This window comes from Homo sapiens, chromosome 22 (genome assembly GCF_000001405.40).
Source record: "Homo sapiens chromosome 22, GRCh38.p14 Primary Assembly".
NCBI classification, from domain to species: Eukaryota; Metazoa; Chordata; class Mammalia; order Primates; family Hominidae; genus Homo; species Homo sapiens.
The window spans coordinates 11,277,603-11,293,787 of record NC_000022.11 but is presented as its reverse complement, the minus strand read 5'-3'; the positions used below and the strand labels follow the sequence as shown (position 1 = coordinate 11,293,787).

General features: G+C 44.8%; 2 pseudogenes; both read right to left on the bottom strand.

The window, feature by feature from the left end:
- DUX4L41 (double homeobox 4 like 41 (pseudogene)) lies at positions 10,897-11,880 on the bottom strand (annotated as a pseudogene).
- On the bottom strand, positions 14,302-14,857 carry PCMTD1P4 (protein-L-isoaspartate (D-aspartate) O-methyltransferase domain containing 1 pseudogene 4; annotated as a pseudogene).
- Between the last annotated feature and the right edge of the window lie 1,328 nt (positions 14,858-16,185).

Genomic DNA, 16,185 nt, shown 5'->3' with positions numbered 1-16,185 from the left:
TTCCTATTTCTCCACATCCTCTCCAGCACCTGTCATTTCCTGACTTTTTAATGATCGCCACCCTAAATGGTGTGAGATGTTATCTCATCAAGGTTTTGATTTGCATTTCTCTGATGGCCAGTGATGGTGAGTATTTTTTCATGTGTTTTTTGGCTGCATAAATGTCTTCTTTTGAGAAGTGTCTTTTCATATCCTTCACCCACTTGTTGATGGGGTTGTTTGTTTTTTTCTTGTTAATTTGTTTGAGCTCATTGTAAATTCTGGATATTAGCCCTTTGTCAGATGAGTAGATTGCAAAAATTTTCTCCCATTCCATATTTTGCCCGTTCACTCTGATGGTGGTTTCTTCTGTGCAGACGCTCTTTAGTTTAATTAGATCCCATTTGTCAATTTTGGCTTGTGTTGTCATTGCTTTTGGTGTTTTAGACATGAAGTACTTGCCCATGCCTATGTCCTGAATTGTATTGCCTAGGTTTACTTCTAGAGTTTCTATGATTTTAGGTCTAACATGTAAGTCTTTAATCCATCTTGAATTAATTTTTGTATAAGGTGTAAGGAAGGGATCCAGTTTCAGCTTTCTACATATGGCTAGCCAGTTTTCCCAGCACCATTTATTAAATAGGGAATCCTTTCCCCATTACTTGTTTTTGTCAGGTTTGTCAAAGATCAGATAGTTGTATATATGCGGCATTATTTCTGAGGGCTCTGTTCTATTCCATTGGTCTATATCTCTGTTTTGTTACCAGTATCATGCTGTTTTGGTTACTGTAGCCTTGTAGTATAGTTTGAAGTCAGGTAGTGTGATGCCTCCAGCTTTGTTCTTTTGGCTTAGGATTGACTTGGCGATGCAGGCTCTTTTTTGGTTCCATATGAACTTTAAAGTAGTTTTTTTCCAATTCTCTGAAGAAAGTCATTGGAAGCTTGATGTGGATGGCATTGAATCTATAAATTACCTGGGGCAGTATGGCCATTTTCACAATATTGGTTCTTCCTACCCATGAGCATGGAATGTTCTTCCATTTGTTTGTATCCTCTTTTATTTCATTGAGCAGTGGTTTGTAGTTCTCCTTGAAGAGGTCCTTCACATCCTTTGTAAGTTGGATTCCTAGGTATTTTATCCTCTTTGAAGCAATTGTGAATGGGAACTCACTCATGATTTGGCTCTCTGTTTGTCTGTTATTGGTGTATAAGAATGCTTGTGATTTTTGCAAAACGATTTTGTATTCTGAGACTTTGCTGAAGTTGCTTATCAGCTTAAGGAGATTTTGGGCTGAGAAAATGGGGTTTTCCAGATATACAATCATGTCATCAGCAAACAGGAGCAATTTGACTTCCTCTTTTCCTAATTGAATGCCTTTTATTCCCTTCTCCTGCCTGATTGCACTGGCCAGAACTTCCAACACTATGTTGAATAGGAGTGGTGAGAGAGTGCATCCCTGTCTTGTGCCAGTTTTCAAAGGGAATGCTTCCAGTTTTTGTCCATTCAGTATGATAGTGGCTGTGGGTTTGTCATAGATAGCTCTTATTATTTTGAGATACGTCCCATCAATACCTAATTTATTGAGAGTTTTTAGCATGAAGTGTTGTTGAATTTTGTCAAAGGCCTTTTCTGCATCTATTGAGATAATCTTGTAGTTTTTGGCTTTGATTCTGTTTATATGCTAGATTACGTTTATTGATTTTTGTATGTTGAACCAGTCTTGTATCCCCAGGGATAAAGCCCTCTTGATCATGGTGGATAAGTTTTTTAATGTGTTGCTGGATTCATTTTGCCAGTATTTTATTGAGGATTTTTGCATCAATGTTCATCAAGGATATTGGTCTAAAATTCTCTTTTTTTGTTGTGTCTCTGCCCAGCTTTCATATCAGGATGATGCTGGCCTCATAAAATGAGTTAGGGAGGATTCCTTCTTTTTCTATTGATTGGAATAATTTCAGAAGGAATGGTACCAACTCCTCCTTGTACCTCTGGTAGAATTCGGCTGTGAATCCATCTGGTCCTGGACTTTTTTTTGGTAAGCTATTAATTATTGCATCAATTTCAGAGCCTGTTATTGGTTTATTCAGAGATTCAACTTCTTCCTGCTTTAGCCTTGGGAGAGTGTATGTGTAGAGGAATTTATCCACTTCTTCTAGATTTTCTAGTTTATTTATGTAGAGTTGTTTATAGTATTCTCTGACGGTAGTTTGTATTTCTGTGGGATAAGTCGTGATATCCCCTTTGTCATTTTTTATTGTGTCTATTTGATTCATCTCTCTTTTCTTCTTTATTAGTCTATCAATTTTGTTGATCTTTTCAAAAAACCAGCTCCTGAATTCATTGATTTTTTGAAGGGTTTTTTTGTGGCTCTATTTCCTTCAGTTCTGCTCTGATCTTAGTTATTTCTTGACTTCTACTAGCTTTTGAATGTGTTTGCTCTTGCTTCTCTAGTTCTTTTAATTGTGATGTTAAGGTGTCAATTTTAGATCTTTCCTGCTTTCTCTTGTGGGCATTTAGTTCTATAAATTTCCCTCTACACATTGCTTTGAATGTGTCCCAGAGATTCTGGTATGTTTTATCTTTGTTCTCCTTGGTTTCAAAGAATATCTTTATTTCTGCCTTCATTTCGTTATGTACCCTGTAATCATTCAGGAGCAGGTTCTTCAGTTTCCATGTAGTGGAGCAGTTCTGAGTGAATTTCTTAATACTGAGTTCTAGTTTGATTGCATTGTGGTCTGAGAGACAGTTTATTATGATTTTTTTTTTTTTTTACATTTGCTGAGCAGTGCTTTACTTTCAACTATGTGGTCAATTTTGGAATATGTGTGGTGTGGTGCTGAAAATAATGTATATTCTGTTGATTTGGGATGGAGAGTTCTGTAGATGCCTATTAGGTCCACTTGGTGCAGAGCTGAGTTCAATTCCTGGATATCCTTGTTAACATTCTGTCGTGTTGATCTGTCTAATGTTGACAGTGGGGTGTTAAAGTCTCCAATTACTATTGTGTGGTAGTCTAAGTCTCTTTGTAGTTCACTAAGGACTTGCTTTATGAATCTGGATGCTCCTGTATTGGGTGCATATGTATTTATGATAATTAGTTCTTCTTGTTGAATTGATCCCTTACCATTATATAATGGCCTTCTTTGTCTCTTTTGATCTTTGTTGGTTTAATGTCTGTTTTATCTGAGACTAGAATTGCAACCCCTGCCTTTCTTTGTTTTCCATTTGCTTGGTAGATGTTCTTCCGTCCCTTTATGTTGAGCCTGTGTGTGTCTCTGCATGTGAGATGTGTTTCCTGAATAGAGCACAGATGAGTCTTGACTCTTTATCCAATTTGCCAGTCTGTGCCTTTTAATTTGAGCATTTAGCCCATTTCCATTTAACGTTAGTATTGTTAAGTGTGAATTTGATCCTGTCATTATGATGTTAGCTGGTTATTTTGCTCATTAGTTGACGCAGTTTCTTCCTAGCCTCGATGATCTTTACAATTTGGCATGTTTTTGCAGTGGCTGGTACCAGTTTTTCCTTTCCGTGTTTAGGGCTTCCTTCAGGAGCTCTTTTATTGCAGGTCTGATGGTGACAAAATCTCTCAGCATTTGTTTGTCTGTAAAGGATTTTATTTTTCCTTCACTTATGAAGCTTAGTTTGGCTGGATATGAAATTCTGGGTTGAAAATTCTTTTCTTTAAGAATGTTGAATATTGGCCCCCACTCTCTTCTGGCTTGTAGAGTTTCTGGTGAGAGATCCACTGTTAGTCTGATGGGCTTCCCTTTGTGAGTAACCCGACCTTTCTCTCTGGCTGCCCTTAACATTTTTTCCTTCATTTCAACTTTGGTGAATCTGACAATTATGTGTCTTGGAGTTGCTCTTCTCGAGGAGTATCTTTGTGGTGTTCTCTGTATTTCCTGAATGTGAATGTTGGCCTGCCTTACTAGATTGGGGAAGTTCTCCTGGATAATATCCTGCTGATTGTTTTCCAACTTGGTTCCATTCTCCCGTCACTTTCAGGTACACCAATTAGACGTAGATTTGGTCTTTTCACATAGTCCCATATTTCTTGGAGGCTTTGTTCATTTCTTTTTATTCTTTTTTCTCTAAACTTCTCTTCATGCTTCATTTCATTCATTTCATCTTTCTTCGCTGATACCCTTTCTTCCAGTTGATTGCATCAGTTACTGAGGCTTGTGCATTCATCACATAGTTCTTGTGTCATGGTTTTCAGCTCCATCAGGTCCTTTAAGGACTCCTCTGCATTGGTTATTCTAGTAAGCCATTCATCTAATTTTTTTCAAAGTTTTTAACTTCTTTGCCATTCATTTGAACTTCCTCCTTTAGCTCGGAGTAGTTTGATCATCTGAAGCCTTCCTCTCTCAACTCATCAAAGTCATTCTCCATCAAGCTTTGTTCCGTTGCTGGTGAGGAGCTGCAATCCTTTGGAGGAGGAGAGATGCTATGATGTTTAGAGTTTCCAGTTTTTCTGCTCTGTTTTTTCCCCATCTTTGTGGTTTTATCTACCTTTGGTCTTTGATGATGGTGATGTACAGATGGGTTTTTGGCGTGGATGTCCTTTCTGTTTGTTAGTTTTCCTTCTAACAGTCAGGACCCTCAGCTGCAAGTCTGTTGGAGTTTACTGGAGGTCCACTCCAGACCCTGTTTACCTGGGTATCAGCAGCGGTGGCTGCAGAACAGCAGATATTGGTGAACTGCAAATGCTGCTGCCTGATGGTTCCTCTGGAAGTTTTGTCTCAGAGGTGTACCCGGCCGTGTGAGGTGTCAGTCCACCCCTACTGGGGGGTGCCTCCCAGTTAGGCTACTCGGGGATCAGGGACCCACTTGAGGATGCAGTCTGCCCATTCTCAGATCTCAAGCTGTGTGCTGGGAGAACCACTACTCTCTTCAAAGCTGTCGGACAGGGACATTTATGTCTGCAGAGGATATTGCTGTCTTTTGTTTGTCTGTGCCCTGCCCACAGTGGTGGAGCCTACAGAGGCAGGCAGGCCTCCTTGAGCTGTGGTGGCTCCACCTAGTTCAAGCTTCCCGGCTGCTTTGTTTACCTACTCAAGCCCCTCCCCCAGTCCCACTGCCACCTTTCAGTTTGATCTCAGAGTGCTGTGCTAGCAATGAGCAAGGCTCCATGGGCATAGGACCCTCCGAGCCAGGTGCAGGATATAATCTCCTGGTGTGCTGTTTGTGAAGCTGGTTTTACAAGTTCAGTATTAGGGTGGGAGTAACCCGATTTTCCAGGTGTCATCTGTCACCCCTTTCTTTGACTAGGAAAGGGAATTCCCAGACCCCTTGTGCTTCCCAGGTGAGACAATGCCTCACCCTGCTTTGTCTCATGCGCGGTGCACTGTACCCACTGTCCTGCACCCACTGACCGGCACTCGCTAGTTACATTAGCCTGGTACCTTAGTTGGAAATGCAGAAATCACCCATCTTCTGCATCACTCACGCTGGGAGCTGTAGACGGGAGCTGTTCCTCTTCGGCCCTCTTGGCTCCACTGACCAAGACTAAATATTTTTTACAAACATATTCAAATGGCCAACAGGTGTGTAGAAAGATGCTAAACATTACCATTCATGAGAAAATTGCAAATCAAAGGATCCCAGTTTACAGCAGTTGGAATGGCTAATATCAAAAAAAGAAACATGACAAGTGTTAACAAGGATGTGACCAAATATTTCTGTACATTCTTAATGAGTTGCAAACTGGAAGAGTCATTATGAAAATTAGTACGCAGGTTATTTTAAAAAATAGAACTATCGTACAATCCCGAAATTCCACTTCTGTCTATAAACAAAATAAAATCAGCATCTCAAAAATTATCTGCACCCTTGTATTCAATGCAGCATTATTCACAACTGTCAAGGGTATTTTTTTTTTAAATGACTTATCTGCAGATGCTGAATGGATAAGGAAAATGTGGTATAAATATACAACTGAATATTATTCACCCATAAAAAAGAATGAAATTCTGCTATTTCAACAACATGAATGGACCTGGGTACATTATGCTGTGCAAAATAAGCCAGACACGGAAGGACAAACACTGTATGTTCTCACTTAAATGGAGAATTTAAAAAGCCTGAACTCATAGAAGCAGAGCGTACAATGGTAATGACCAGGCCTGGAGGTAGAAAAAATGATAAGGTGTTCAGGGTACAAACTTTCAGTTATAAGATAAATAAGTTTTGGGGGTCTAATGTATAGCTTTAAGATGTAGTTAATAACAGTGTTTTGTATGCTTAAAATTTGCTACAACAGTAGGAGACCTCAAATGCTCTCACTACAAAAAACATAACCATGTAAGGTGACATAAATATTCATCAACTTAATTGTATTAAACATTTTACAATATATATACCTATCAAACTTTTATAATATACACAATACATAATTATGCAATTTTTATTGGTCAAAAAATTAATGTTATGTACACATGCATATATTCACATAAGTGTGTATATACACATATATAAAACATATACGTATATATCAATTACATACGTATATACTTGTGTGTGTGTATGTGTATATATATATACATACATATCAATGACAATATCCTAGTAAGCTTCAAACTAAACAAGAGAAAACTATAAAATGATAACTATTTAAAAATCAAGAAAAAAATGGGTATTTAATACATGCTCAGCAATATTCTAAGTTCCTCAATGGCAAAGTACATGTTTTAAATGTAGAAAGTAGATACATTAAACCATATTACAGTTTAGGAATTATGGCACAGAGTGTTTACAGTATTAGCCTCAATACATACCAAAAACTTAAAATTTTGAAGTAAAATAACATTTCGTTTTATTATATGGGGCAGAGGCTTAGTGTTCTGATTAAATTATTGAGTATGAATTTCTGTAGAATCACATTTGAAACCTTCACAGGATATGAAATTATAAAGCAGAAAACATACGACATCTGGATGTGGTGTTTCTGGGATTTCTAAACCAAATCCCAATATCTCCACTACTCTCACACATTTTAGACAAGACCCAAAATGGAAATTAGAAAATGTTTAACATAGAGTTCCTTAAAAATCACAGACGGCCCCATGTCCTCAAAAGCAATAAAAGAGCAAGAGCCAGGTCCTCCAGTCCCTTGTAAGCCATGCAAAGGGCTTTGATTTTCTTTGTAACCTAGAAGAATGATCGTTGAAGGGGAAGTCCAGTCCTAGAAAATTGAAGAGCATAGGGCAGAAGATATCTGTCTCTAATGAAAGCAAGAGAAAGAAATCAGGGCTTCTCGGAAAAGATTTCCATTGGAGCATAGCTTCGCAAACCACACTTTAAGATCTGGCTTTTTCCTTGACCTTTGGTCATCTCATCTGTGTCATCTGCCTTATTCACTCCCACCTATTTGGATGTTTGGCTACTATCTCCTGTCTCCTCACACTCTGGGGCTTTTTCTTTTACTCAATGTAGGTGATCAGGTTTAGCTTAGAGAACAGCCAAGGACTCTGTATTAGAAAAAGTAATATGACTTACACTGTGTTTTTCCAATTACTACTTAGTACTGTGCTCAGTGGAAAAAAACAGAACATTATAAAAGAGTCTAAAAATGTAATACCAAATACTATTTCCTCACAGAAATGTTATGATATTTAAAAACTTTTCTAAATTTGTGGGTCCTTAGCTCCATGACCCAGTGCTGCTGAATCAAAACTTCGTGGTGGTTGGCTGGGCCTGGGGACTCACACCGCTGATCCCAGCACTTTGAGAGGCCAAGACAGGCAAATAACTTAAGCCCAGGAATTTGAGGCCAGCCTTGGAAACATCGCGAGACCTAGTCTACAGGTTGAGGGTGGGGAGGAGGGGGAAAGGTGGTGGTAATGGGAGGTGGTAATGCGATTATAAGGTGTGGGCAACCATATTTTGTGCCTCTAGATTTGTGGAGTTACCACTAATCTAAAATTAAGGATACAGATCAGCTGAAGAAAGAAAAAGATTTATGTCAAAATGAAACCTCCTCGTGGGGGTCTGCAGCTGCAATACCGCCAGGTGGCAGCATCCCACCTCTTTCGCCTGGCTGCAGCCCCACCAGGAGCCCGGCTCCAGCCGGGGCGCTGCAGCAGGTACTAGACCTGGAAGGCGCAGACGCGGGTTTCCTGCCCTCCGGGGTGTGTTCCTGCTCCCCGGACCCCAGGCAACTCAATTCATTCATCAAGCGCCCCCGCAACCATCCAAGTTGGGGCAGCAGGTCCCACAGTTGCCATCCAAGACCTCCGCTCCAGAACCCGTGGGCTGCTTTCCCCGGGGGAAGGACATTGTCTTCGCCAGCCACGAAGAAATCTGTCCCTGTGCACCCTGTTTCCCATTGCCACCAACTTCGTGTAAACTCTAGTCCCGAGGACACGAGAGAGACCCAGACCTGGCCCCATGGACACGCTCGGTGCCACGGCTTCCACCAGATGGACGGGTGCACTCTACAAATCTCGGGGCCCACAGCACCAAGGAGACAGGAAGAAGCAAACAAAGGAAGGACCCTATGAAACGCACCCCCAAAGCAACCAACCAATCCAAGAAAAAAAAAAAACACGTCTCAGGGCTCAGTTGGTTTTCCCGCATGGGCGGCCCTGACCCCCTGTTCTAGCCTGGCCCAAGCACCCTCCACCTCACCTCGGCCTGCTCAAAGTGCCCTGTCTACCTGAGCAGAGCCTCCCTCTCCAAGGCTCGGTCTCTCTCGCTCTACAACTCCCTCACCCTCTCCCTTTCTCTACTTCCCCCTCCAACCCTCGCTCTTCTGTCACCTTCTGTCTCTCTCCCCCTGCACTTTTCTCTCTCTCCCCCCATTTGTATCTCTCCATCCCGGTCTCCCTAGCTCTCTTTCAAGCTGTGTCTGTGTCTTGGTCTGTATGTCCTTGTATGTGTGTCCGTGTGTGTGTTTCCGTGTGTGTGTCTTTGTGTGTCCGTGTGTGTGTCTGTGTGTGTGTCCATGTGTGCTGTGTGCATGCACCCGTGTGTATCTGTGTGTGTGTCGTGGTGGGTTTGCTCGTGGTAGTGGTGGGGTGTGTCTGCGTGTCCGTCAGCTCCTGTTTCCCGGGATCAGGCTGCCGAGGCTCTAGTGCCGGCGCGGGGCAAAGCAGGGACTTCCTGTCCCGTTGGCCACGGGCGGGTCCTCGTTGGGACAAGCGACGATGGTGTGGGTATTGTGAGAAAAAGGGCCTGCGGGGCTGGGCCAGCTGTTTGCCCCTGGGCAGCCCTGACTGCTCTGGGTGTGTGGGCCAAGAGGGGGCCTTGCAGGAGGGGTGGCGAAGGATCCAAAACAATTTTTCCGTGGCAAGGCGGAGGACCAGAGGGGATCCCAGGACTGTGGGCCCCGGGCCCTGACTCCTCCAAGCACACCCTGTCTTGAGCCGGCCCGATGTGTTGGAAAATCGGGAGCTCGCGAGCCGGGGGGAAGGCCTGGAGTGTCAGCAAAAGGGAGGCTGCCTGGTGGGCCTATAGCCTGGGCAAGGGACTGAGGCATCACGGCCTGATGACGGATTCCTGTTTCCTGCAACATGGGGAGTCTCCAAAATGGCCTGTTTGGAAACGAAAGGAGAGCGAAGACACGATGCTGCTTTTCCACCCTTCGCTGGGGGTTTCTGTGTCCCCACAGAGCTCGGGAAACAAACAGTCAACATGGTCACGCTTTCGGGGGCCAGAGACACGTGAGCAGCAGTCCCACTTGCAGAGGGCAAAGGAACGTGGAATCCGGAATCATGGTTCACTCGGCTTGAGTGTGACTCCTGTGTGGATGGGAGTATCTGCCTCGCGCTCTGTTGCAGGCTCAGCGTGGGGATATGTCATCTGTGAACCATGTGGATGAAAAACGGACAACCATTCGAGTCTCGTCTCTGATCTTTGGGGAATTCGCTCATTCCTTGGGAGGTGGAATTCCTCTGAATCGCTCCCGAATGAAGTAACCCAGGCTGGTGAACCAGAGGGCCGGTGAGCACACCGCCGGCCGAGGCGGCTGTGGGCTGAGCACTCAGCCTGCACTGGGCACCCAACATTTTCCCGGAGTTCGAGGTCCTGCTGGGCCTGGAGGCAGAAGACCTCTTTTCTCTTTGCCTTCCCTTCTCTGTTTCTTGCTCCTTTTCTCCCTCTGTCCATCCTTCCCTCTGTTCTTCCTTCTCTCCCTCTCTCCCTCCCTGTCTCCCTCCCTCCCTCTGTTCTCTCCTTCCCTCTCTCCCACCATCCATACCTCCCTTTCTCCCTCCTTCCCTCCCTCCCTTCCTTTTTCTTTCCCTCCCTCCCTCCCTCCATCCCTTCCAAGGTCCGTCCTTTCATCCGTCCTTTCCTCCCTCTGTCCCTCTCTCTCACTTTGTCTCCGTTCCTTTCCCCATCTCTGCCTGGCTTCCCTCCCGCCTAGAAAGGGCAGAACCACGGTTTGCACGAGATCTCGGGGTCTACATTTAGTTCCCGGGCGCTTCACGTGATGCCAAGGAGGATGGCGGGGCACGGGTGGGCAAGGGAGGGTGGAGCGGGGAGGTAGTGGAGTTGAGCTGCGAAAAGGAGAGCAGGCCTGGCCGCTGCCCGGATCGGTATTTCCCGGGGTGGAGGTCTCCACCTACACCACTGAAGAACGCGGGGGAGGGGGGGATGTACTGTGTGGGGGAGTGGGGGAAGGGATGAGAGCCCTGCCTGGGCTGGTCCCAAACCCTAGCCGGCTGCCCGCGGACCTGCGCATGCGCAGTAGACGGCCCATCTCTGAGTACCTGGGCTGGCTCTGAAATCCTTGGGATGCTCAGGAAAGAATGACAGCCCTCCTTTCTGTGGAGTCTCTCGCTGGACTTGGACTCAGGGATCCTAGACAGGTCAGCTGGAAGGGAAGACACAGGTCTCCATACTGAACCAGAGGTTCACCGCGAAAGAGGAGCCACTGACCTGCCCCCACCCGGTCCCAACCCCGCGTCCTAAAGCTCCTCCAGCTGAGCCCAGTGTTCTTCCTGGCTGAGGAGTGGTTCCAGAAAAGCAGGCTCTTCCAAGTCCTTCAAATCCCTCAGCGGCTCCGTTGCTAGGAAAGGTTGTGTCCTTTGCTGAAACTGTGTCCTTTGCTGAAAAATGGGGTAGACAGGAGCTCATATAACAGGGTGGATGCGAGTACAGATGAAGACTCCAGCTCCTGGAGCGGTTGGGAGGGTGCCTGGATTGCTTACATCTTCTTCTGACACGCCGAGACCTCCATGGGCGCGAGCTGCGTAGATGTGCCTCGGCTTCGCGTTCCCACGAGCCCTGGCGACCTGTGGACCCTGGCCCCAGCCCCAATATGGACTCATGTGGGACGTGTGCGGCGCAAGCACACCTTGCCCCTGTGACTCAGCCTGAGCGGCCCAAGCTGTCCCATTGAGCACGCACCGAGAAAGCCACCGTACTACGGGTCCTGGTCCTGCTGCCATCTGTTCGGATGCTGAGGTCACCCAGGTGTCTGAGGGTGGGACAGCTCCACTTCCGAAGGAGCCAGGGCCGCAAATCCAAAATCCCTGTGTGCCGTGATAGGTTGGGAGATTCCTTCTGCCTGCGAAGCCTGGCTGGGCTGCAGCAGAGGGGCGACCCTTGCTGTCTGGCTCACGAAAGCCCCCTGTTCCCCACGCCCTGGCGTGGGTGAAGGCGACCAAGGAGGGAGGGTGGCACCCGCTGTAGGCCGCGTTGCACAGGCCGCCTGCGTGCGCGGGTTCCCTGCTACCCTGGCCTGGATGCCTGGACCTTCGATTCTGACACGAAATCTGAATCCTGGACTCCAATAGGCAGGTCTCTCTGGCCAGTTCGGGTACAGGTTCCGCTCAAAGCATGCTGGCAGGGCATCTTTTTCGTTCAGGTTACAAACCAGTCTCCTTTGCCGTCCTCGTCCTCGGGCTTTCGCGGGGAAGGGGCTGTTAGAAGGTGTCGGGAGAGCCATCGCGAGGGCACCTGGCTGGAATTTCACGGACAGACACAGACAGATAGAGGCCGGCGGCTCCCGTGGGCCTCAGTTGGCCTCTGTGCTGCACGCAGGTCCAGGCAGGAGTCCGACCCCGCCAGTGGCCCTTATAAAGACCCACCAGCTTCACCCCTTCATGAATATGCATGAACACCCAAGGGCCCTGGGTAACCCGCCCTCCGAAGGGCCCAGAAACCACAGACACAGGGCCTTGTGTGGTAGGTGAAGGTGGGGCCAGATCGGATGGGAAAGGGGGGCTTCTGGGACTGGCTCTCTGAGTTCTCCAGAATTCTACAGAAACTGGAAGTTTCTCTCTGGGTTCACACACGATTTCAGGGAGAAACCACCCTGGAAGGGTAGAGTGTGGAACTGAACCTCCATGATAGTCTTGAGTTTTCCAGTCCCTCTCCCTGAAGCCGGCAATGCCTGTGGGTGTCTCCATTGCCGTGATAGTCACACACGCAGGTGTGTGGATCTCATTGATTTTTTTTATTTTCATTTTTTATTTCTACCTCTTAAAGTCAATGATAAAGTCATGAGTGTAAAATGAATGCATTTAAAAACATAAAAGATACGTTTCAATGACAAGAAATCTGCAATGATCATGAAAATCTACTGTACACTTTGCCAAGGTCAAAGAATGAAAGACAATATGGAAAAGCCAATCTTCAAATATATCCTTAACAAAAACTCTCTCCTACATAGTAAAAGCATCATCTAAACAGCAGCTCCAACCGAGAAAAAAAAAAACAAAAAAACAAAAAACAAAAAACAAAAACAGCAGGGTAGATGGGACAGATAACTTTCCCCAGGTTTTCCAGATAAAAACATGTGGTCACCAGGAATTCAAGGTAACTTAAAAAGCCACGTTTAATTCAAAATAAAATGAACACTTCTGACAGATGACAGCAGTATGATACTGACTTTTTTCTTTCCTAGATACAAATGATATGGGGCATTTCTTAACAGTTTAGTAATCGTCTAAGAATAACTGTAGAAATAACCCCAATTCCACCATCCCAGCCACTGGTATAAAACAAATAACCTTCCATTGACACTGTCTTTCACATAACTACAATATCCTCACTTACTTGGAACAATTTCATGCTTACACATGATCACAAACACTTGTTTTTAGATGTTGTGGAATTATTGGAGCTGAGATTTTTTAAACAATATCTGAATCTTAGCAGAGAGCAAATAATCCTTTCACTATACATTGATTGGGCTTCCTTAACCAAATCTGAGCAACTGCTATAATAATAATGCTGGTGGTAATCCATGATACTCTCAAATTTTTCCCTTTAAGAAATATATAATCCATGTAACTCTAGCAAATATGTTACACTGCACACTTTCTTAACAAGGAATGGCTGTTTTCAGGCCTTATTAGGAAAACAAAGAAACAAACAATGGCAGTTACTATCTGTTTTTTATCACTGATAAGTTACAATAAACTCAAATATGACAGTTTAATTGTGTGATATTAAGTGAAAAATGAAAACCATTATAGTTTTACCAAAAGAAACATAAAAAGTATGGGAAGAAGTCAAATGAGCATGGCATAAGTCCCAAAGATTACACTAGGATTCTGAACAGGATTTTCCAAACAAAGAGTATCTACATACAATTTCTGTGAATATTTCTTGTAGTAGAAAGTTCCAAAACAAATGTAGGCTCAGCCCTACCTTGTCAAAGATAAATATTCAGATAAATTAGAAGTTCCATCTGCTAAAGTGCATCCGCTGACCAGGTCTACCATGGCGCTGCTACTTACAGCCCTCTAAGAAAGTGGCCTCACTCATGCTCATTCACTCGTTCTGTGGCCTATCAAGTGTCACACATAACAATGGTTTTGCTTTTTTAAAAAAAACAAATACTTTATACAGTGAACTACAGAAAAAACAATTCTAAATATACTTTTAAAATTCTAGAGAGTTAAGGTAACCTCATTTTTTAAAATACTGAAAATGTAAAGTGTCCATATAAAGAGTTGTATTAAGTACATACTTCCTATTTTAATAATTCACTTGCTGTGCTCTTAAAATCTCTCTGAGAGAAGCAGATATTTTACTCGTGTATTTGGCAAGAGATTCAAAAGCAAAAGTAGCAGGGCTGTAAAATTCCATAAAATTTGTGGGATTTTTAAAAGCTAAATTATTCAATATTTTGTATTGTTATTGCACTCATATATTGCCCAGAATATATATACAGCAACCCAGCAACAGTGATTGCAACAAAAGTAAGGTAAATAGGTCTACAAAGCATTTGATTTCCTTATTAGATAAGTGAAGTTTTCATAGAGGAAGTGCAAATTCAGATCAGGTTACATAAGCTTAACAATTATTCAAACCTTATATAAAATTAAATCTAACCCTCCCCACTACAAATCTGTAAGGAATCACTGTCAGGAATCTACAGGACTTGGCTCGTATTTACATTTGATGCACACTTAGAAATTTCATAAATGATGAGATGCAGGCCAAGGGGATTCCTCAAAGGGCTCCACCCAAAAGGAAAAGAAAGAGAGTTAAACAGAGAATTACCACTTACGTATTTGTGGGTAATCAGCTTATTCCTCAGCCTCTAGACAGTGAGGAGGATGAAAAAATGGAAGAAAATAATAAAGAAGAGGAAGAAAAAGATCACAGTGAAGCGATGAAGCCAGAGAAGCCACCTCAAAATTTACTGAGAGAAAAAAATCATGAAGCTGCCCTTCCCTGAATCTTTAAAAGCTTACTTGACATATTTTAGAGACAAATAACTTAGATCAAGAAGAAAGAATGCCTACTGATAATTCCTTTAGTCTTGAAAATGTAGCATTTATTAGGAATTAAAAGAATTATTTATTTCATCAGAGCAAATTATAGTGGAAAAAATATCACTTGTTACTGTCAGTAACATAAACGATGTATTGAGTGAATAAAAGAATCCCTTTTATAAAATCTATTTTTCTTTAAATCTTGGAAAATTGTTGTTTCACCTCAGAGTGATTTCAAAGTGGAATGTGACAGTTGTCAAGACTTGTGTGCTATAAATCCTTTTCTGATTCCTTACGGATCTCATTCATTTTCATGTAGAAAACGAGAGCGAAACTACAGAGAAAAGAAAGGCCCGGTGCATTACGGCCTGAAGAGGGATTCCTGTTTCCTGCAACATGGGGAGTCTCCACTATGGCCTGTTTCCAAACAGGGAACTGGAAAGGAGAGCGAAGACACGATGCTGCTTTTCCGCGGTTCTCTGGAGGTTTCTGTGTCCCCAGAGAGCTCGGGAAACAAATAGTCAACATGGTCACGCTTTCGGGGGCCAGAGATGCATGAGCAACAGGTCCCCTTGCAGAAGGCAAAGGAACGTGGAACCCGAAACCACGCTTCAGTCAGCCTGAGTGTGACTCCTGTGTGGACGAGACTATCCACCTAGCGCTCCGTTGCAGGCTCAACGTGGGGCTATCTCATCTGTGAACCATGTGGATGAAAAATGGACAATCACCCGAGTCTCGGCTCATTGCTCTCTGGGCAATTCCCTCATTCCTTGGGAGACGAAATTCGGCTGAATCGCTCTCGGATGAAGTAACCCAGGCTGGCGATCCAGAGGGCCGGTGAGAGCCCCGCAGGCCGACGCGGCTGTGGGCGGAGCACTTAGCCTGCACTGGGCACCCAGCATTTTCCCGGAGTGCAAGATCCTGGTGGTCCTGGAGTCAGAAGACTGCTTTTCTCTCTGCCTTCCTCTCTCTGTTTCTTGCTCCCTCCCTCCCTCTTTCCCTCTGTCCCTCCCGCAGTTCCTCCCCCCCTCCTTCGCTCCCTCCCTCCCTCCTTCCCTCTCTCCTTCCTTCTATCCCTCCATCCTTTCCAAGGTCCCTCGGTCCATCCGTTCTTTCCTCCCTCCATCGTTCCCTCCCTCTCTGTCTCCGTTCCTCTCCCCATCTCTGCCTGAGTTCCCTCCCGCGTAGAAAGGGCAGCACCCCGGTTTGCCCGGGGTCTCGGGTCTGCATTTAGCTGTCAGGCGCTCCACGGTGATGCCGAGGAAGCTGGCGGGGCAAGGGTAGGCCAGTGACGGTGTGGCGGGGAGGCAGAGTTGGCGAGACGCGGAAAGAAGAGCAGTCCTGGCGCCTGCCCGGGCCAGTGTTTCCCGGGATGGAGTTCTCCGCCCTCCCCACTGAAGAACGCGGTGGGGGGCAAGAGGGAAGTGATGAGAGCTCCACCTAGGCTAGTTAGAAAACCTAGGCTACTGCCTGCTAATCCGCGCATGAGCAGTAGACAGTCTGCCTCCCGGTACCTGGAGGGGCCCT